The following is a 21694-nucleotide window of genomic DNA, read 5'->3' on the forward strand; positions in this document are numbered from 1 at the left end:
ATTTTGTGGCATATAAATTATTCCTCAATAAACCTATTTTTAAAAGGGAATGCAGCATAACGGCAAAGGTTGTGGGTGGGGGTAAATAAATGCCAACTTATCACTAAAATACGTATGGGGAAAATGAAAATTGATATAACAAAAATACAGAATTGATATTAAATCTAATGAAGATTCTGGGTGAAGTTTTTAAATTAATTTTCAAGATTAATGTAGCAAAATAGAAAAAAAAATGGTAATTCTGCCCTTGCTCAGAAAGACAACTTATGACAATTGTGTATGGCTTGGGCCTATGGAAGTGAAGAGTATATCCCCAACGAAGGGCAAATAATGCAACTCTGAGAAAACTAGTGCAGGGGATCAGGACTGGGCAGAGGGCCTGCACATGATACTCTACACTCTGGCAAATGTAGTTCTCACAAGAAAACAGCTGTAGATGAAGGAGATAGGAAAATTCCTGTTAGTAGTGAAGGCCAATATTGCGGTTTTTTCAAAACTTTCTCTATTAAATGTCAAATATTAGAAAAACAGGAGGAAGAGAATATCCTGTTTTAGCCCAATATAACCACAGTATATTTCTCCATAATACTGCACATTTAGCTACACACTGTGCACATGAACCCCACTTTCATCTGTAGCAGCATAAAAAAGTGTTTGATGAGCATCAAAGTAGACAGCAACACCAAAGGAAATCTACAAATTGTATGTTTTTCAGCAGGAGGTGAGACAGTGGGTTAATTTATTTGATTGTGAATTTGGAAAGGCATTTCGGAAAATACTTTGCTATAGGCACCAGAAAATGCTTTTAGATTATGCTCAGGTTCTCTGTGTAGATTGCCTTTACCATTATAATTCCTTGATCTTTTAAATATTGCCAATTCATTTGCCTTAGCACTTTCTCATGATCTATCAACCAAGTTCTTGTCACTCTTTGTACAGCTTAAATCCATGGGCATTCATTATCATCAGTGCCTAACCTGGCAGAACCACAGTCTACACATAATCTGGCATCTGTCTTTTCCATGCTGGCTACCAAATGGCTGAATGTTGGTGGAGAAACTCTCACAACCAAGTGAATGGTTATATTTTAAGTAAGTAATCTCCAACATCAAATTTGCACTCAAAATACACTAAATTTCTCATGCCCTGATATGACCATATATATAATGCATTCTCATCAAATCATCTGTAGAATTTTCTCTTCCTCATTTGCACTCTCAGGCAATGATCCCATCTTATACTTTGAGGAAATAAAAACCATTGGGTTTGAACTCAATCATCTTTTGATAACTCTGCAGTCTTCTCTTCTATCTTTCCTCCTGTTTCGGTGGAGCTGTCGCTCCCCTTTACTCTTTCACTTTCACGAGGACTTGACTTCTCCCTCTCTCTCCTGAATTGATTCATATATAACTACTCATTCATTATCACTAGCAAAACATCCATACAAAAACCCATATATTTTTTTAAATGCCAGCCATTTGCCCCATTATTCTGCTTCCCTTTATAGCCAAATTTCTTGGGAGAATTGTCTACACATATTACCTTCTTTCTGACCTCTTCTTTTCACCCCTGTATGCACCTTATTCTTACCTTGAACCCTACCACTTACCCAAATTTTCTCAAGAAATTCTCTGATGACTTCCCTGTTACTTAACCTAATGCATATTTCTTTCTTCATCATCCTTACTCCTTGATCTTGCAGCATGATTCTACACAAGCACATCTGTTTCTACAATATGTTTTCTTCTCTTGGCTTCATTATTTATATCTTTGCTTCTTACTTTATTGGCGGCTCTTTCTCTGTGTTCTTTTCTGGGTCCTCTTTTCTACCTGAATTCTAAATGTCAGAGTTGTAGATCTTGGTACCAGATTGCTTTAAATACCAGGTTTCCCATTCTCTATCTACTTAAAAATATCAGGGATGTTCAGAGGTAGAGGTGTGTGTGTCCTTTCTTTTTGCTGATTGCTCTGGAATTTATCTCCAAACTCAGCAGGCCCTCTGATTTCTATACTTAAATCTCCAATTCTCTATATTATATATCCACCTGGACATCTCAAAGGCATCTCATTTTAATTTTAGCTAGCTAATAGTGACCTTCCTCTACAAATGTGTCCACCATTTCCTCATTAACCATCACCACCCATCCAGTTATTGCAGCCAGAAACTGAGAAGTCATCCTCAATGCTTCCTGTCTTCTTTAATCCATCAGCAAGCTCTACAGACTTTGTATGTTGAGCTCATCTTTTTTCTCTTCATTTCTCTGCCATCACTCTAGATGAAACCTTTATTTTCTCTTGCCTAGATGAGAGAAGCAACCTTCAACTTACCTTTCTTATTCCCATCTACCATCTACCCTTGCTCAATCAGTTGTGCACAAGACAGACAGCAATAAAAATGACTGCATTTAAAATAAAATACAAACTCCTTCCCATGGGCTGAAATGTCCTGCATGATATGACCCCTATTTTTTCTGCTACTTTCTCTGTTGCCATTCTTCCTTTCTCTTACCAAACCACGCTGCTGTTTTTCCATTCTTTAAACCCATACCCTCCCTTTATTCAGGACCTTTGCCCATGCTATTTCTCCTAATTGAAGCAGCACCCCCCACACATAGACTCACACCCACACTTAAACTATTTTATGGCTTCTTACTATCTTTTAGATCTCAGCTTAAATGCCATCACCTCAGAGATGTCTTCTCATCTAGTTGATATCTCAGCACCTGAGACTCACTTCCTTTGCATGGCATTTATTATAACTTGAGATATTTTTAATTTATTTGTCTGTTCCCCCTTAAACATTTTTTTTCATTCCCACTAGATGATAAGCTCTGTGAAAGCAAGGGCTGAGGCTATCATTTATTGCTATAGCTCAGGGAAACCATGTAATAAACGCACCAATAAATGAAAGTTTGAATCAATTATGCAGTCAAAAATGGCTTCTATGACATAGGAAACAGAAGCAAAATTCAGACTTGATTTAAACACCTCTTCACTAAAACTACATTTCAGAAGAAAATAAAGAATAATGTACAGATTTGGAAGACAGGATTGTGGTATAAGATTCATTATTAGCTAATTGTCATGCATTCATGTTTAAATATAATATAAAGATAATTCACATAACTCAAGGGCTCTATTATTATTATTAATTTATTAATTTATTTATTTTTGAGACAGTTTCGCTCTTGTTGCCCAGGCTGGAGTGCAATGGCACGATCTCGGCTCACCGCAACCTCTGCCTCCCGAGTTCAAGCGATTCTCCTGCCTCAGCCTCCTGAGTAGCTGGAATTACAGGCGCCCACCACCATGCCCGGCTAATTTTTTGTATTTTTAGTAGAGACGGGGTTTCTTTTTTTTTCTTCTTTTTTTGTATTATTTTTTAGCAAAAAAAAAAAAAAATACATGAAGCAATTCCAGAAAGCGATGAATTAAATTAAATTTGATTAAAGGCTGTCTGTGTACATAGAGAATTGCAATCTAACTTCATATGTAAACAAATTGCATTCTAATCTATTAGTATATTCTTGTAACAAGTAGCTGTCTCAGCCAATCACAGCAGCTGAGCTTCAGCCAACCACAGCCTGCTGATTTATCAGACAATGTCCACATAAGGCAAATGTCAAGCTATAAGCAATCAAGCTGTTTTTGTGCGTCACTCCCTTTTTCTGTCTATAAATACTCCTGCTCATGTTGCTGAGTTGAGCTCTCCGAACTTCTCTTGGTTCTGAGTGCTGCCTAAATCATTATTATTATTATCTTATTTCAGCAATAAATACTATTTCATTGCTGAAATAAGCTGCTAAATTTAATTTGTTGAAAATTTTTCTTTTAACAAAGGTTAAGAAAACCATTCACAGTATAAACTCAGAAATAGGAGCAAGACTCAGAATAAAAGGACAGATCCCAGTGAGAAAACTTAAGTTTAAATAAGTGTGGTAAAATAATCTACAATATTAAATGTAAGTTACTCATCAGATATATTAATTTTACAGCATATAAATTAAGAAATAAAATTCTCCATCCATTGGAAATAAGTTTCAAATCATGTTTGTAACAATCAGAAACTGGAAAAGAGGGTAAATATAAAAAGAAGGGGAAAATATGCTAAATTCCTCATCAAATGGTGGTAGTAAAAATATATATGCTAAACATTTTACTTCAAAACTTTCAGTTTTCTTGTTAAGGCTTCTATTTTTTTCTGTCATTTTATTTATAGTCTTTTACCATGTGGGCTAGGTGTTATTTGATTTTATTTATCACAGTGAGTGAGAAAGGACACATTTGGTAAAATAAGAAAATGATGTATATTACTTTTTATTATCTAAGGAGAATCCTGACCTTTCCTCCCTCATTTCCTTTTGGCAACAGCACATATATTTGAAAGGTTTCGTGACTTCCATACCACACCTGGGTCAAATTATCTATTAAGATTTATGTATTCACGTGGGCACCATCAGATAGATACATTCCAGGTGTCAGACAGAAAGTACAATCTTGATCATATCTTCATCCAATATTCATCAACCGTTCCAGTGAGAGACACCATGCTAGGGGATAATTGTTTAGAGAACATTCAATTCATGCTTTATGTAAGAAACTCTAATTGATACTTCTGAATTAAGCAGACTTCTGAGAGTGCATACAGATGATCTCATGTGGTACCTACAGAAATAATTCTACTGAACTAAACTTTGATATCTTGCCATCAGCCTATATTGAAGGAAGCCATTAAAAACAGCTATGAAACTCGTCATTGGTTACAAAGTGGATGTTGATAAAGCTGAGCAAATGATTTTGCTTTGTACAAATCTTTAGGAATACTATCAAGATACAGATACTATCTTTATATTTGATAATTAATATTATCATTATATATGATTAATAGAACTTTAAGATGTTATAGTTATGAGTACAATCTATTAAGTATAAAAATCTATCATAATAAATATGTCACATTATATATAATAAATATAAGTATGTACTATATAATAAAATTATATAAAATATATAATCTATTATATTGTTAAATGTAATGGTTAATGTTATTAATTCAAGGCTACATTTATTTCTCTAGAGAAAATAATTCTTTTTTATGATATAGAAATTAGGAATTATGGAACTATCCTGTGTTCCTTTTGCCAGTACTGCTAGATAGCTTAGAACCAGGATGATTTATGAAAATCATATATAACATGACCCAAATTCACACTGTAGCAGCTTTCTATATATTTGAATAGCTTTGAAATGATTAAAATGAAAGCAACATTTCATTATTAAAAGAGAGCAATGTTTTTAGCATTATTTCAACCTAATAACAAATGCAAGGACATTCTTACTTCTAAAGTCTTCTTCACTCTCTAGGGTATTCATTATGCTTTCTAATGTTTCATTATTTTCAAGTGAATTTCGAAAACATTTATGCTTCAGGTTTCCCATGAACAGCTGTAGTCCAATTAGTGCAAACACACTCAGACAGAACACAGTCAGGATCATGACATCAGAAAGCTTCTTCACTGACTGGATCAAAGCCCCTACAATTGTCTTCAGGCCTGAAAATGGGAGAAAAAAGTGTTTGTAATGACATAAAGCCTCTGAATCGAAACAAAAAACACAAGCTTTCCTAGAAAGTCATGCATTATATCAAATCAATGACCTTAAGTAACCTAATTCAAAAAAAGCCTTCTGGGTTTGCTATTTTATATATACTTTGTTTTTATATATTACAGCAAATGGTTAAAAATAGGAACATATTCTCAAAGAATACCTAGGTTGTCAAAATGAACAATTTGGCTATTCAAACCACTTTAAAAATAATTTTTGTAAGTTCTAATGTTTGTCAAACAAACCACTTCTCTATAAATGGCACCAAAACAAATTACAGCATATAGTGACACCTTGTAATAATTTTCAATAAAGAAATGGTTTGCTGAGAAAAAATAAAAAACAATGTCATGCAATATCCCCATGCTGATATTTATGATCTCTTTCCTAAGTATTTTAAAATCAATTAAAATGGATTGAAATTTTCCTTCCTGTATAAGCAAATGGAAAAACAAACCCTCAGACAGGAGGGAAGATTTCAAGTTGAGATGTGAGCCAAGTAGTCATCCTCATCCTAAAGACCCATGCAATTGATTAAACTCAAAGGTTGACTTTTGATAATGATTGTGGAAAACAGAAGAAATCAAATTTAATTAAAATTGCATAAAGAAAGGTTTTTTTTATGTCTTTCTTTCAAAAGATCAAAGTCAGCCCTGGTGTTTAACCCCACTCTCACCTGGAATGACTGAAATTGTTTTCAATGCTCGGAGAACTCTGAATGTTCTCAATGCTGAGACATTGCCCAGGTCCACAAACTCTGTCACATATCTGTAATAGGGGAGTTTATACACACAGTGACGACACACACACAAACGAACAAAGAACAACTCCCAAATAGTTGGAGTTATGAGTGGCCTAATGCTTCACACCAATTACTTCTTACCTGGGATTACAGAAATAGTTTTCAAAGCTCTCAATACTCTGAAAGTTCGAAGAGCTGAAACATTGCCTAGGTTTACAAATTCTGTTAAATACCTGTAGAATTAAATCAGAATTATTCAGAATTTAGATAGAGTCTATGATACTTACCTGAGCCTTTAGTCAAGGTATTTTCTACGTTTGGGGCTTCTATTTTAAATGTATAGTTCTGCAAGTCTTTTTTGCTATCATAACTAACTTAATTTAATTAGCATTGATTTGACTCATTTGATGCAAACAAAATACAGATATTATATATTATTAAATTGGATTCATACACTTAAATGCGTAAACAACTAAATGTTTCAATTGTTGGACCCTTAACATTATGGTAATTTAGACTTTTAATTTTTTATAAAACATTGAAAATAGTATGCTAAGTGTCAGACACAAAAGGCTGCATACTGTTTGATATTTCCATTCATAAAAAAATCCAAATAGACAAATCCATAGAGATAAAACATAGATGAGTGGTTTCCAAGGGGCCAGGGAGAGAAGGAAATTGAAGTGACTGCTAATGAGTACAGAGTTTCTATTTGGGGTTGTTAAACTTCTCTAATTAGGTAGTGGTGATGTTGCGCAAGTTTGTCAATATACTGAAAAACACTGAATTGTATACTTTAAAATTGTGAATTTTGTAGTATTTGAATTGTACCAATAGGAAAAAAAGGAGACCTATGAGAAGAGGCAGTCTTCTTTGCACAATGTTTTCTTAGCAGCAGGTAGCAGATGGAACTGCCCCATCATATGTGACCTCAAAAGGAGGGAGCCTGATGGAAAAGAGGTTAGGCAGGGATGAAGGAATCGGATATTAGGAATCTTAAGACCCTTCTGTATTGTCTAGGTGGCTCCAGTGAACCTGGATTACTTTGATAATTCAAAGTCATTAACGGAAAATAGAATATCTAGATATGAGATTGTAAAAATCCATTTTTCTGATAAATACATTTGGGAAAAGAGTAACAATTATGAATAAATTAAAATTATACTGTAATGTAATATTTTCCTTGAAAATAAACTGAGTGTATATATAATGTGTATACAATGCATTAATCTTAGGCTTAGTAAGCAGTGACAGCTCTTTTACAAATATATACTTTTATATTTTAATACAAAAATATAAAATAATTGAATAATACAGGGTAATATAAAGAGCACTGTACTTGTATTTAAAGGCCTGAGTTTTTTGTGTGCTTCTTATAGGTTTTATTCATTTTTAAACAAGAACTTGGAAAAAGTGTAAACCTAATTGGCACTGCATAGACTATCCATCCAAGTGCTGAGCATGGAGGAAGATGATCAATCTCAATGATGTCACATACCTCTGAGTGGGAGATAGTCTTTTTGAAAAATTTAGTATTTGCCTATCAATGACTAGCTTTCATATAGCTTCCATTTTCCTTTAAATACAGACATTCCATGCTGGAAAAATCAGACCCCAGAGGTTTGCTGTTATTGGAACACTGTGCTGCCTGAGATTTTCATAAATTTGCCGTTTCAAAAAGCTGAAAGTACTTACGCAAAAACAATGACGACAAAATCCAGCCAGTTCCACGGGTCACGAAGAAAAGTGAATTCTCCTACACAGAAGCCTCTTGCAAGGATTTTTACAAGTGATTCAAAAGTATATATTCCAGTAAAAGTGTACCTAAACACAAGATTCCATTGGGATACTAGATGTGAAAAGAATACAACCACCATGTAAATCTTTATAACTTATTTTCTCTAATTAACCACTGGAAGACATATATTGGAGGATGGCTGTTGGGTTATGGACACACCCTATTAAACTACAATAGGTCTATCCAGAAAATATTAAAATGTCAATATCAGAAACACTCCCAGAAAGCAGAGGTACTTGAAATAACTAAGAATATAGGTCTCAGATCTGCCTAAAAATTTCCTACATTGCTTCTATCAAAAATTCACCCAATCATTTAAAAATACACCCATATAATTATAAAACATACACCCAAGAATAAAATATGTGTAACATGTCTAAGAACAGGATGGAGCATCTGACAAGTTCATTCTTTGAGAAAACACTGTAGCATCTAATTTTTCTAATCTAGCAGGTTAATATCATAGAGGAGGTAAAGAACAAAAGAAAAGCAAGCATATAACATGGGAAGGTAAAGATTCCCCATCTTCATAAATGCAGTAACTTCCTGGCAGGAAAAGGAAAGGATGAAATGATAATACCAAAACTATATTAAAATGTACTTATACCCACTTACTCGACATTTTTGGTCCAGTCCGGTGGGTTATTCATGGTCATAAATATGCAGTTTGTCAGAATAGTGCACATGATGAGCATGCTGAATAAGGTAGCTTAGAATCAAGGAACAAAAGAGACGACAGTGGGAATTTGAAATATTTGAGGATGACACTTGTTGAAATGCTTACAACTTTTCCTAAGAAAAAAATTCTAAATGAGCTTGTAGACTATTTTGTCTCTTTGAACAAGAGAGTAATAAATAAAAGTAACATATCCTAAAATCTTAATATTGCCACTCTCCCAGTCTTCTCTGAGACCCATGACAAATTATATTAATAATACTGAAATTAATAAACTAAAACCAGAGTCTTTCAAGGTGCAAAAGGTATAACATCTATATTTGAATAAAATAGCAAAAATTACACCATAAAGTGCCACTGGATGTAATCATTTTTAAAAGGATATGAGTGTACTAAAATCTTAATAGATATTCTTCTTAGAGGACTGAAAGGAGAAAGCATATATAAAGCAGGTGTGGCATTGAAACGGAAGATTGTTTTCCCTTTGTTCAATACTATGAAAGTCTGCAGGAGGAAAAAGAAAGGATGAAATTGAGAATCCAAAATATCAATTTTTCACATCAATATCAGCAGTTTACCTTTCTACATGGCAGTGTTATATTGAAGAAACACTGCCATCAGACTCCAGCAATGTGGTTCCAATGTCATCAACGCATCTATCAATGTCACCTTGGCCAATGAACTCCAAGTCCACTTCTTCATAGTAACTTTAAAAATTGAGCTATTTGTTAGCATGTATTGCTTAGAGCTTTCAAAATACTGTATTTCATATTTTTCATTTTCTTTCACCAGTAACAATAACTGTGGTTAAGTTATTTTAAAGTACAACTTCTTTCCCTTCCATTACACTGCATTTTAAGAAAGCCAAATAGAAACTAGCTATCTCTAATATTTTTATCATAAAACCTTGAGAATTTTAATACTTGCTGGCAATTGTTATGGTTAGCAGCACATGTTCCAAAATATGAGTTATTTCAAAAAATATTTTCCTAAGTTGAAGGAACGTCAGAGTTGGAAGAATCCTTCCAATCACTGAGTTCAATTTCTTTATTTTAGTTATAATACTAATATTAGCTTTTAAAAGGGACTTAAATTAAGAGGATTCCTCACTTACTAACCACGGTAATTTAAAAAACGATATGAATAGAAGCAAACATTCTTGAAATGTTATTGTAGCCATTCCATAAGTGTCCTTTTCCATAGCTTTAGTATTCAGTTAAGAAATAAAAACAACCAGCAGTAACAACAAAATATTAAAGCAACCTAAAGCATTGGCTTAGAAATCAGAAAGACAAAGTTCAAATCCCAGCCTTATTTTTCTCCGGTTGGCAGGAAGATGACTTGTGTTAGCTGAAAGACACTGACTTTCTAAATTTTATATAGGGTTATCAGTGGGTTTCTGGCAATAAGCATTTCTCACCGTATTCAGGAGGTAAGTCTGTGAGTCAGGCTTTTTATTTGTATGCGGCAGCGTTCCCTCAAGAAAACAAATCAGAGTCTATTGTTTTCAGGTGTCCTTTTATTTTCCTGCTCCCTTTCACTGTATCAGTTCTATCTAAATACAATTTAATGTAAAATTCACTTTTACATGGAAAATTATTTTAAAATTAATACCTAGTCCTCAAGTACAATCCTTTTTGTCTTAAATCTCAGTAGACTGTATTTTTAAAAAATTATTCATCCATTCTTTCTGCAATTGTATTGACATGGTTTGGCTCTGTGTCCCCGCCCAAATCTCATTTTGAATTGTAATCCCCACGTCTCAGGGGAGGGACCTGGTGGTAAGTGATTGGATCATGGGAGCGGTTTCCCCAGTGCTGTTCTCATGATAGTGAGTGAGTGAGTTCTCATGAGATCTGATGGGTTTAAAAGTGCGGCATTTCCCTCCTCTTTCTCCCTCTCCTGCACCATGTTAAGATGTGCCTTGCTTCCCCTTTGCCTTCGACCATGATTGTAAGTTTTCTGAGGCCTCCCCTGCCATTCAGAACAGTGAGTAAATTAAATCTCTTTTCTTTATAAATTACCCAGTCTCAGGTAGTTCTTTATAGCAGTGTAAAAATGGACTAATACGGCCGGGCGTGGTGGCTCACGCCTGTGTTCCCAGCACTTTGGGAGGCCAAGGTGGGCAGAACACAACGTCAGGAGATCGAGACCATCCTGGCTAACACGGTGAATCCCCGTCTCTACTAAAAATACAAAAACAAAATTAGCCAGGTGTGGTGGCGGGTACCTGTAGTCCCAGCTACCCTGGAGGCTGAGGTGGGAGAATGGCGTGAACCCGGGAGGCGGAGCTTGCAGTGAGCCAAAATCGCGCCACGGCACTCCAGCCTGGGCAACAGAGGGAGACTCTGTCTCAAAAAAAAAAAAAAAAAAAAGACTAATACATGTATAGTCAGAAACTATATCATAACAGGTAATGAAAAGGAGTTTGAACAAAAATAAGGCATGAGTTTTGTATTCAAGGAACTTCCTAGAAAAATGAAAAGAAGAAAGTAACTAATATAAGGCAAGATGTGACAGATATCATACAGAAAAATATAAAGGGGGAAGAATGAGAGTGAAGAGGGAACAGGGTCACATGACTGTCAAAATTATCAGGGAGACTTTATAAACCGGAGGTCATCTGAGCTAACATGAAAAATCACAACATACTACATAGTATTGGCAAGATCAAGTTACCTTATACTTGAAATTTTAATAAAAAGAATTGTTGGTATTTTAAAATTGAAATTAGCAATTTTCATTCTCATTAAAAACTTTTAAGTGATTTTTGGGTCTGCATACACATGAGAGTTAATTATTAGCAGGAAAAAATAGGTATGATTATAAAATTTGGCAGATCACTGTGTCATGTCCAAAAATGTTATGCTAAACAATTATACTAAACAATGTATACTATGTTATACTAAACATTATACTAAATTTCACAATTGCTTCAAAGAGAATAAAATACCTAGGAATCCAACTTACAAGGGATGTGAAGGACCTCTTCGAGGAGAACTACAAACCACTGCTCAAGGAAATAAAAGAGGATACAAACAAATGGAAGAACATTCCATGCTCATGTGTAGGAAGAATCAATATCGTGAAAATGGCCATACTGCCCAAGGTAATTTACAGATTCAATGCCATCCCCATCAAGCTACCAATGACTTTCTTCACAGAACTGGAAAAAACTACTTTAAAGTTCATATGGAACCAAAAAAGAGCCCGCATCGCCAAGTCAATCCTAAGCCAAAAGAACAAAGCTGGAGGCATCACGCTACCTGACTTCAAACTACACTACAAGGCTACAGTAACCCAAACAGCATGGTACTGGTACCAAAACAGAGATATAGATCAATGGAACAGAACAGAGCCCTCAGAAATAACGCCACATATCTACAACTATCTGATCTTTGACAAACCTGAGAAAAACAAGCAATGGGGAAAGGATTCCCTATTTAACAAATGGTGCTGGGAAAACTGGCTAGCCATATGTAGAAAGCTGAAACTGGATCCCTTCCTTACACCTTATACAAAAATCAATTCAAGATGGATTAAAGACTTAAACATTAGACCTAAAACCATAAAAACCCTAGAAGAAAACCCAGGCATTACCATTCAGGACATAGGCATGGGCAAGGACTTCATGTCTAAAACACCAAAAGCAATGGCAACAAAAGACAAAATTGACAAATGGGATCTAATTAAACTAAAGAGCTTCTGCACAGCAAAATAAACTACCATCAGAGTGAACATGCAACCTACAAAATGGGAGACAATTTTCGCAACCTACTCATCTGACAAAAGGCTAATATCCAGAATCTACAATGAACTCAAACAAATTTACAAGAAAAAAACAAACAACCCCATCAAAAAGTGGGCAAAGGACATGAACAGACACTTCTCAAAAGAAGACATTTATGCAGCCAAAAAACACATGAAAAAATGCTCATCATCACTGGCCATCAGAGAAATGCAAATCAAAACCACAATGAGATACCATCTCACACCAGTTAGAATGGCAATCATTAAAAAGTCAGGAAACAACAGGTGCTGGAGAGGATGTGGAGAAATAGGAACACTTTTACACTGTTGGTGGTAAACTAGTTCAACCATTGTGGAAGTCAGTGTGGCGATTCCTCAGGGATCTAGAACTAGAAATACCATTTGACCCAGCCATCCCATTACTGGGTATATACCCAAAGGACTATAAATCATGCTGCTATAAAGACACATGCACACATATGTTTATTGTGGCATTATTCACAATAGCAAACACTTGGAACCAACCCAAATGTCCAACAATGATAGACTGGATTAAGAAAATGTGGCTCATATACACCATGGAATACTATGCAGCCATAAAAAATGATGAGTTCACGTCCTTTGTAGGGACATGGATGCAATTGGAAATCATCATTCTCAGTAAACTATCACAAGAATAAAAAACCAAACACCGCATATTCTCACTCATAGGTGGGAATTGAACAATGAAATCACATGGACACAGGAAGGGGAATATCACACTCTAGGGACTGTGGTGGGGTGGGGGGAGGGGGGAGGGATAGCATTGGGAGATATACCTAATGCTAGATGACCAGTTAGTGGGTGCAGCGCACCAGCATGGCACATGTATACATATGTAACTAACCTGCACAATGTGCACATGTACCCTAAAACTTAAAGTATAATTAAAAAAAAAAATTAAAAGTAGTATGCCAATGCCAGAGCCAATTTCAATGAAAAATTTGAAAAAGTACAGATTCTGAATATCCTATATATATATATATATATATATATATATATATATATATATATATATTTAATTTAACATTCTGGTCATGATATGGTTATTCACTAAATTTCACTAATCTCAATTTAAAATAATTTTTATACAGAAGGAAGCCAACAGAAACTGACCACTGAAGTCAAAATAAACTCACCTTTTTGTCTGCATAGTAGGGGTCCAAGTCCTCCAGGGGCTCTGACACCATGCCGGGAGGAATGTCCCCATAGATGAAGGGCAGCTGTTTGCCAGCTTCCAAGTCACTGCTTGGCTTTGGGGCTTCTTCATCATCATCTTTCTTTTCTTCTTTGGGTTCCTTTGATTTTCTTTCAGCAATGCGTTGTTCAATGAGGGCAAGAGACTGTTTTGTGAAATGGACAAAGCTCTGAGGTCCTGGGGGAGGCAACATTGCCATCTTTTCATCCTGTATATTTTAATTCCTCTTCAGCTCCTCACATAAGAGGCCTGGATGGAAACAAAGAAATAAAGACTTAACTATTTGCCTGCCAAGAAAGGCCCATTAAAAACTAATAATAACAACATAAACAGATTTTTAGTTTCAACTACAAAAGGTAACATGTTCTAGAATTATCAGCTTGTTAAGGGATTACTATGTGTCAGGCAATGGGCGGGACTTATCTTTCGTGCCTTCTAACCATCTTTATACTCAGAAATTTGAAGTTTACGCTTCATAGCTTTAAAGTAAAAAATGACAATTTTCTGAGTAAATTTTCCTAAATTCCCCTTCTTTTCGTCTATATTTACCTTTGGTGCAATTCAACTCAACTTTCCTCTTTTAAAAGTCTTTATGATAATGCCTTTGGTAGCACCACTCTCCAGCCTGATGCTGTTTTACCAACTAAACTTATGTAATATTCTAAATCCTCTGCTGTCACTTCAACAATGTTCATAACATCTTGACCAGGAGAAGATTCCATCTCACGAAACCACTTTCTTTGCTTATCAATCAGAAGCAACTCCTCATCCATTCAAGTTACCGCGAGATGGCAGCAATTCAGTCACAATTTTAGGCTCCATCTCTTAATTCTAATTCTCTTGCTATTTCCACCACATCTGCAGTTCTTTCCATCACTGAAGTCTTAAACCTCTCATAGTCATCCATGAGAGTTGGAATCAACTCATTCCAATTTCCTATTAATGTTTGTATATTGCCCTCCTCCCACAAATCATTAATGTTCTAATAACATCTAGAATGGTGAATCCTTTCCAGAAGATTTTCAATTTACTTTTCCCAGACCCATCAGAGGAATCACTATCTATGGCAGCTATAGTCTTATAAAATGTATTTATTAAAAAATAAGACTTAAAAGTTGAAATTACTCTTTGGCCCATAGGCTACAGAATGGATAGCGTTAGCAGGCATGAAAATAACATTAATGCCCTTGTACCTCTCCGTTAGAGCTCTTGAGTGACCAGGCACATTGTCAATAGGCAGTGATATTTTGAAAGAAATCTTTTTTTTTTTTCCTGAGCTATAAGTATCAACACTGGGCCTAAAATATTTAGTGAACCATGCTGTAAACAGACGTGCTGTCATCCAGGCTTTGTTGTTCTATTTATAGAGCACAGGCAGAGTAGATTTAGTATAATTCTTAAGAGATTTTCTGAATGATTAAATAATATAATTATTATTTAATTTTCTGAATAATTAAATAATATAGTTATTATTTAATTTTCTGAATAGTAAAGAATATAATTATTTAATTTTCTGAATAGTAAATAATATAATTATTATGTAATTTTCTGAATAGTAAATAATATAATTATTATGTAATTTTCTGAATAGTAAATAATTATTAATATTCTGAATAATTAAATAATATAATTCTAAGATTTTCTGAACGATAAATTAGCATTTGCTTCAATTTAAAGTCACCAGCTGCATTATCCCCTAACAAGAGAGTCAGCCTGTTCGTTGAAGCTTTGAAGCCAGACATTGACTTCTCCTTTCTAGCTATAATATATTCTTCTAGTAGAAGGCTGTTAGACCTTCATTGCAAATCTGTTGTTTAATGTAACCACTCTTATCAATGATCTTAGCTAGATCTTCTGAATAACTTGCTGCATCTTCTCCATTGGCACTTGCTGTTTCACCTTGCATTTTTATGTTATGGCAGTGACTTCTTTCCTTCAATCTCATGGGGTACCGTCTGCCAGCTTCAAACCTTTTTTTTCCAGCTTCTTCACCTCTCAGCCTTCATACAATTGGAGTTATGGCCTTGCTGTGGATTAGGCTTTGGCTTAAGGAAATGTTGTGGCTGGTTGATCTTCTATCTAGATCACTAAAACTTTCTCTATATTTGCAATAAGGCTGTTTTGTTTTCTTATCATTCATGTGTTCACTGGAGTAGCACATTTGATTTCCTTCAAGAATGTTTCCTTTGCATTCACAACTTGGCTAAGTACTTAGTGCAAGAGGCCTAGATTTTGGCCTATCTTGGCTTTCAACATGCCTTCCTCACTAAGCTTAATCATTTCTAGCTTCTGATTTAAAGTGAGAAATGCGCAATTCTTCCTTTACTTGAACATTAGGGGTGGGAATGGGTTACTAATTGGCCTAATTTTAACATCGTTGTGTGTCAGGGAACAGGGAAGCCTGAGGAAAGGGAGAGAGATAGGGATGCTGAAACAGAACACGTCACATTTAATGATTGTTTGCTGTCTTATGTGGATGTGGTTCATAGCACCCCAAAACAATTACCACAGTAACAACAAAGATCACTGATCATAGATCACCATAACACATACAGTAATAATTAAATAATGGCAATTACAAAGTTGAAATATTGTGAGAATTGCCAAAGTGTGACACAGATGCATGAAGTGAGCACATGCTGTTGAAAAAATTACGCTGACAGACTTGCTTAATGCAGGGTTGCCACAAACCTTCAACTTGTAAAGAATGCAGTATCTTGAAGTGCAATAAAGTAAAGCCCCATAAAATGAAGTATGCCTGTATTTTGATGGAAACCAAAGTTAGGATAAAGGTTTTTAAAGAATGTAGTGAAAAATAAGGGATATTTCATATACACATTCAAAAGTAGGATGATTCTGAAAGGTAAAGAGTAAGTTATGACTCGGCAATTCCACTACTTGGTACAGACTCAAGGGAATTTAAAACATATGTCCACACAAGAACGTTTACATGAATGTTCAGCAGCATTATTCATACTAGCCAAAAAGTAAACACAACCTCATTACTCACCAATGAATAAATGGATAAAGGAATGTGGGATATTCAAACACTGAATTAGTATTTAGCAATAAAAACAAATGAAGTATAGGTACATGTTACAACATGGATGTGATGAAAACCCCGTGAAAGAACACAGAGCCAAAAGGCCACATACGATATGATTCCATCTTATGAAATGTCCAGAATAGGCAAATCCCCAGAAACAAAATGTAGAGTATTTTTTGTCAGAGGCTGGGTGTAATAGGAAGTGATTATTGATGGTTATGTGGTTAATGGTTAAAGAGTATGGGGCTTCTTTTGGGGTGATAAAAATATTCTAAAACTACATAATGATGATTGTTGCATACCTTTGTGAACATACTAAAAACCACTGAGTGATACACTTTAAAATGGTGATTTTTTATGGTGTGTAAATTATATCTTAATAAAACTACTATGAATATGCATTAAGAATTTTGAATCCTAAAATATGTGAAAATTGTCCTCAGAATAGGAAGAGATTTAGTAAAAAGGAAACAAATCAATGAATCAAATCAAAGCAGTTGCCACTTGTGCTTTGGAGATTCCTCAACACTTTTGGAAATCATAAAGGTGAGAAGACGGGATAACTTGCCTCACTAGACTTTCAGTGTAGACATACTGTGGCTCTTGAAGAAAAGTTGGCTTGAATAACTGGTGTTTTTGTAGATTCTACATTCAACTGGAGGGTACCATCTCTTTCAAGAATTATTTGACAGAAATCTAGGTACAAAGATGTTGTGAACTCAGATGTCCATTACCAGTTTGATTCTTCCAATATTCCTATTCTCCTCTGTCTCTGTCTCCCCCAACCCCCATGCACATGCTCAACACAGCTCCAGAATGACTAAAGTATATGAAAAAAGCAGAGGCAAAGGGTGGTCAATGCTAGTGGTACCATGCATGGGCAATATTTCCCTGATCAAGCTAAATTAAAGGAAGACACTAAGCACCTGCTTAACATCATGATCTGTGAAATGGAAGTTGAAGAGACCTTGATCAGATTTCATCATCATCCTCTAGTTTGGAGAGGTGAAACTTCCTTTCATTTTACTAATTTTATAGCTTTGAAGAAGAGCAGCTTTAGTTGGCATCTGAGTTTGCTTGGAAGTTATTGTACCAGGCCAGTGGGGTGGCAAGATGATAGGCTGACAGGGTTACAGAGGGCAACATAAGTAAAAATGGAGCCTCACACTTCACCAACACACACAAAGAAGATGCAATGATGGGGCAGGACCTATGTGTGACTACAACTTCTTTCCTCTTCCCTTAGTCTTCTGGATAAACAGGCCACAGGAGTTTTCATTAGTCAGGCATTTAGTTTAAGATTTGAGATTTCTGGTGGAGTAAATATTTAAATGGAAAAATAAAGCTCAAACATTCTAATAAAAGTGAAAATGAATACTTATTTAATGTGAGAGTAGAGAGGACTTGTAAAGCATTACACCAAAGGCAAAATCGAAAAAGATAAAGAATGCTAGATTTAATCTCATAACAATGAAGGTTTTTAAAAGTGGAAGGCATCCACAAAATAAAAAAAGTACAATACAAATGACAGATGAAGTGCTTTTCCTTTAATGAATAAAGATATTAATATATCTCATAAAATTTAGTAAAAAACATAATTATCTAAAAATACAAATGGTTAATAAACACTTGTAACCATGTCAAACCTCACTAGTAATCAAAGAAACAAATATTAAAATAAACATGGGGAACCAAATTTGGCCTATTAATCATTAGCAAAGATTTTAACAAAAGTAATAGTGATATTAGAGAGGTTATAGGGGAAATCAGTGTTGCCTGTCTGGATGAAAGTAATAAATAATGTGTACTGTCTGGGTGCGGTGGCTCACGCCTATAATCCCAGAACTTTGGGAGGCCCAGGCAGGCAGATCATGAGGTCAGGAGATCGAGACCAACCTGGCGAACACTGTGAAACCCTGTCTCTACTAAAAGTACAAAAAAATTAGCCAGGCATGTTGGCAGGCGCCTATAGTCCCAGCTGCTCGGGAGGCTGAGGCAGAGAATGGCGTGAACCCAGGAGGCGGAGCTTGCAGTGAGCCAAGATCGTGCCACTGCACTCCAGCCTGGGCAATAGAGCGAGACTCCGTCTCAAATAAATAAATAAAGTGTACAAACTTTTTGAGGGTAATTTTGTAATATCTATCAAAAGCCTTAAACACGTGAATTCGTTTATATTGCCAAATAATTTTCCTTCTAGGAATTTATTCAAAGACAGTAATCTCAGGTGTCCTCTAACATGTATAAATATATTTACTACAATATTTTTATAATATTGAAAAATTATAATCAATCCAAAATCCTAACAGTAAGGGTTACACTAAATGAAGTAATGAATGTATAATGAAATAATGAGCAGCTTTGAAAGAGAGCGTTCAAAGACTATTTAATGAATTAAATGAATTATAAAAATATAATGCATAATAAGTGGAATCCAGGTTATACACACAGATAGATGTAAATTAATAATAATTTTTAAAATGATATTTAATTTAAATACACAATGCATTTAACAAAGTTTAGCCCTAGTTAAGAGATTATGGATTATTTTTATGTCTTTATACTTTACTTTTCAAATTTGTACAACGAAAATGTCATGTTTTTCTATCCAGAAGAAAGAAAATATACTTTGAAAAAAATCATTTAAAATTATTTGACCTAATTTTATATAGTCAATGAAATCAATCAATATTTATTCTTGTCATGTTTAATTTACAATTTTGAAAAATATATTGCTACATTTCCACTTTTATTAACATTACTATGATTGTATCTTCTTTAGAATGAAATCCCAATGTTGCATATAAAGGCAGTACTTTTGTTTTCTCATTACTATCTTACCCACTCACCATTAATCTCATATTAGAGAATACTTAGGCAACTACTAAAATTAAAAAATGAATGTGTTATTCTTGTATCTAAGATTTCCTATAGTTAAAATCAATATGGAAATATTTATTCTGAACTCTTTCTTATTTTCTATGTATGCAGACACACACATATATATAGATATGTTTTATCTATGCTTATCCATCTATGGATCTATGTCTGTCCAAATATCATATCATGTATTTGTCTATCTAGCATCTATTTTTCTTCACACATCTTTCCAGTCAAAGCAATGTCAGCTCCCAGTTCATGAAAATGGTCTTATCCCATGTGTTTATCACACTCTCTGGCCTTCAAATTTCCATTGCAGTAAAAACAAAGATGTACAGTGGCGAAATGTTAGATAATATCACTAAAAACCAGAGGAAGACAAAAAAAGTTATCATAAATCATAAGATTACCCTAGTGAGGAGATCAAAGCAGAAGCTACAGTCTAGAACACTCATCTGAGAATGTTAGAATTTCTTTCTAGCAGAGAAGTCACAGATTTCTATGGCAAATATGTGATGTAGATCAGAAAACAAGTTGATTAATCCATGGATTATTTATTCAATAATGTTGCAGAAAACATTGTCCCACTTCCCTCTCTATGTTAAATATGTAGCAGAGTGGTTTATCTCCAAGCTATCACCAAAAGGATAATATCTGCATTAATTAAGGTAGGACTCCTAGGGTATCCATGTCCATTTTAGCTAGAACCAGGGTGGAGTCGAGGGAAAGGTGACTCCCTTATCTACTCCTCATCCATACATCCTAAAATGTAGCCTGCCTGTCAGTACACCATACATGTATATACACAGACCTTTCAGTCATCCCTCTCTTTCAAGAGAGGATTTGTCTGGGAAACAGACCTGTATAAAGACAGATGCAAACCTGGCCAACACCAACCTGGCCTTTCTTCCATAAATATTAATAGATTATCAAGAATAAATTGGTAATGAAGATCTACCAAACATAAAATTGAAAGACTAAGATGAACAGACCAAACTTTTAACTTTAGAAAAAAAAAAGCAAACATTGTGGGATATTGAGAAGTTAAAGTTAGTATTCCTAGAGAAATTTGAGGAGACAGAGTATCTTTTATTAAAAAAAAAAAATAGGCTACCAAAAACAACAACATCAATTCTGGGTAAAGGTCATGCTTTGTGAAACAAAAAATTTCAGTAGAATGCTTGCTGAAAAGGAGAAGTCATAATTGTAGTTACCTTTTACTTTACCCAAAAGGGGCACTTTACCAGAATGGGGCACCAGTGAGCATTCTCAGGTGCTAGAAACGTTCTATACCTTGATCTATGTGATGGTTACATGGGAAAATATGTATATGTAAAAATGCATGGAGTTCTATATCTTAGATTTTTCTATATATTTTAGGAGAATTTTAAAAATTAAAAAAGTACAAAATAAAACTTAGAAGATACAGAATAATCCATGTTGTTCGACATTAGTCTCAAGAGAGCAGCAAATAGTAGATAGGAAATAATAAACAAAGTAATGGCAGAAAATTCACCAAGAGTCATCAAGCTAAAAGTACAAAAGAAGATCAATTTAAAAGTTCCATTCTTGTGAAAGTTTAGAGCATTAACAATAGAAACAAGATTTTATAATCTTCCAAAAATAAGATAACTAACTAAAAAGAATGAAAATTAGATTGCCATTAAAATTTCCTTAGCCATAATTGACACTAGAACACAATCAATGCTTTCAGTGTGATGAGAGAAAATATTTTGAATCAAATTCTATTATCAGACAACCTATTATCAAGTGTGATGGCAAACAAAATATATTTCTAGGTATAAGAAAATTCAAAATTTAACTCCTTTTTATCTTTTTTTTTTAAGTTACTTTGGATTAAGGTAGAGCAAAAAAAAAAAAGTACTTCTAAAACACATAGAATACAAGATGTTTCACAAATAGTGTGAATAAAAGCAAAGGGAATTTGTTTCTTTAGAACGTGT

The 21694-nt window shown here is 34.6% G+C and overlaps 1 protein-coding gene and 1 long non-coding RNA gene across 9 annotated transcripts in view; one reads left to right on the top strand and one right to left on the bottom strand.

Annotated features, from left to right (window-relative positions):
• SCN1A-AS1 (SCN1A and SCN9A antisense RNA 1) overlaps positions 1-4034 on the top strand; it is a 220254-nt gene extending 216220 nt beyond the window's left edge. The window contains exons 11-12 of the long non-coding RNA NR_110260.1: positions 940-1091; positions 3181-4034. This is a non-coding gene — a long non-coding RNA (SCN1A and SCN9A antisense RNA 1). The remainder of the gene's footprint in view (positions 1-939; positions 1092-3180) is intronic.
• SCN9A (sodium voltage-gated channel alpha subunit 9) overlaps positions 1-21694 on the bottom strand; it is a 180803-nt gene that overhangs the window by 102566 nt on the left and 56543 nt on the right. For 5 of the 8 annotated variants that reach the window (XR_001738886.2, XM_011511619.3, XM_011511616.4 and 2 more), the window contains exons 2-7: positions 13749-14056; positions 9206-9324; positions 8760-8849; positions 8042-8170; positions 6488-6579; positions 5340-5552 (exon numbers count right to left, since the gene is read on the bottom strand). Coding sequence is in view for 7 of the 8 variants with exons in the window: in XM_011511619.3 (XP_011509921.1) it covers positions 5340-5552; positions 6488-6579; positions 8042-8170; positions 8760-8849; positions 9206-9324; positions 13749-14006 (901 nt within the window). In the remaining variant the exon portion in view is untranslated. Of the gene's footprint in view, positions 1-5339; positions 5553-6280; positions 6373-6487; positions 6580-8041; positions 8171-8759; positions 8850-9205; positions 9325-13748; positions 14057-21694 lie in introns of those variants that run through there. The other 3 variants (XM_011511618.3, XM_011511617.3, XM_017004669.2) reach the window with 2 other exon arrangements.

The sequence above is a fragment of the Homo sapiens genome, chromosome 2, assembly GCF_000001405.40.
Source record: "Homo sapiens chromosome 2, GRCh38.p14 Primary Assembly".
NCBI classification, from domain to species: domain Eukaryota; kingdom Metazoa; phylum Chordata; class Mammalia; order Primates; family Hominidae; genus Homo; species Homo sapiens.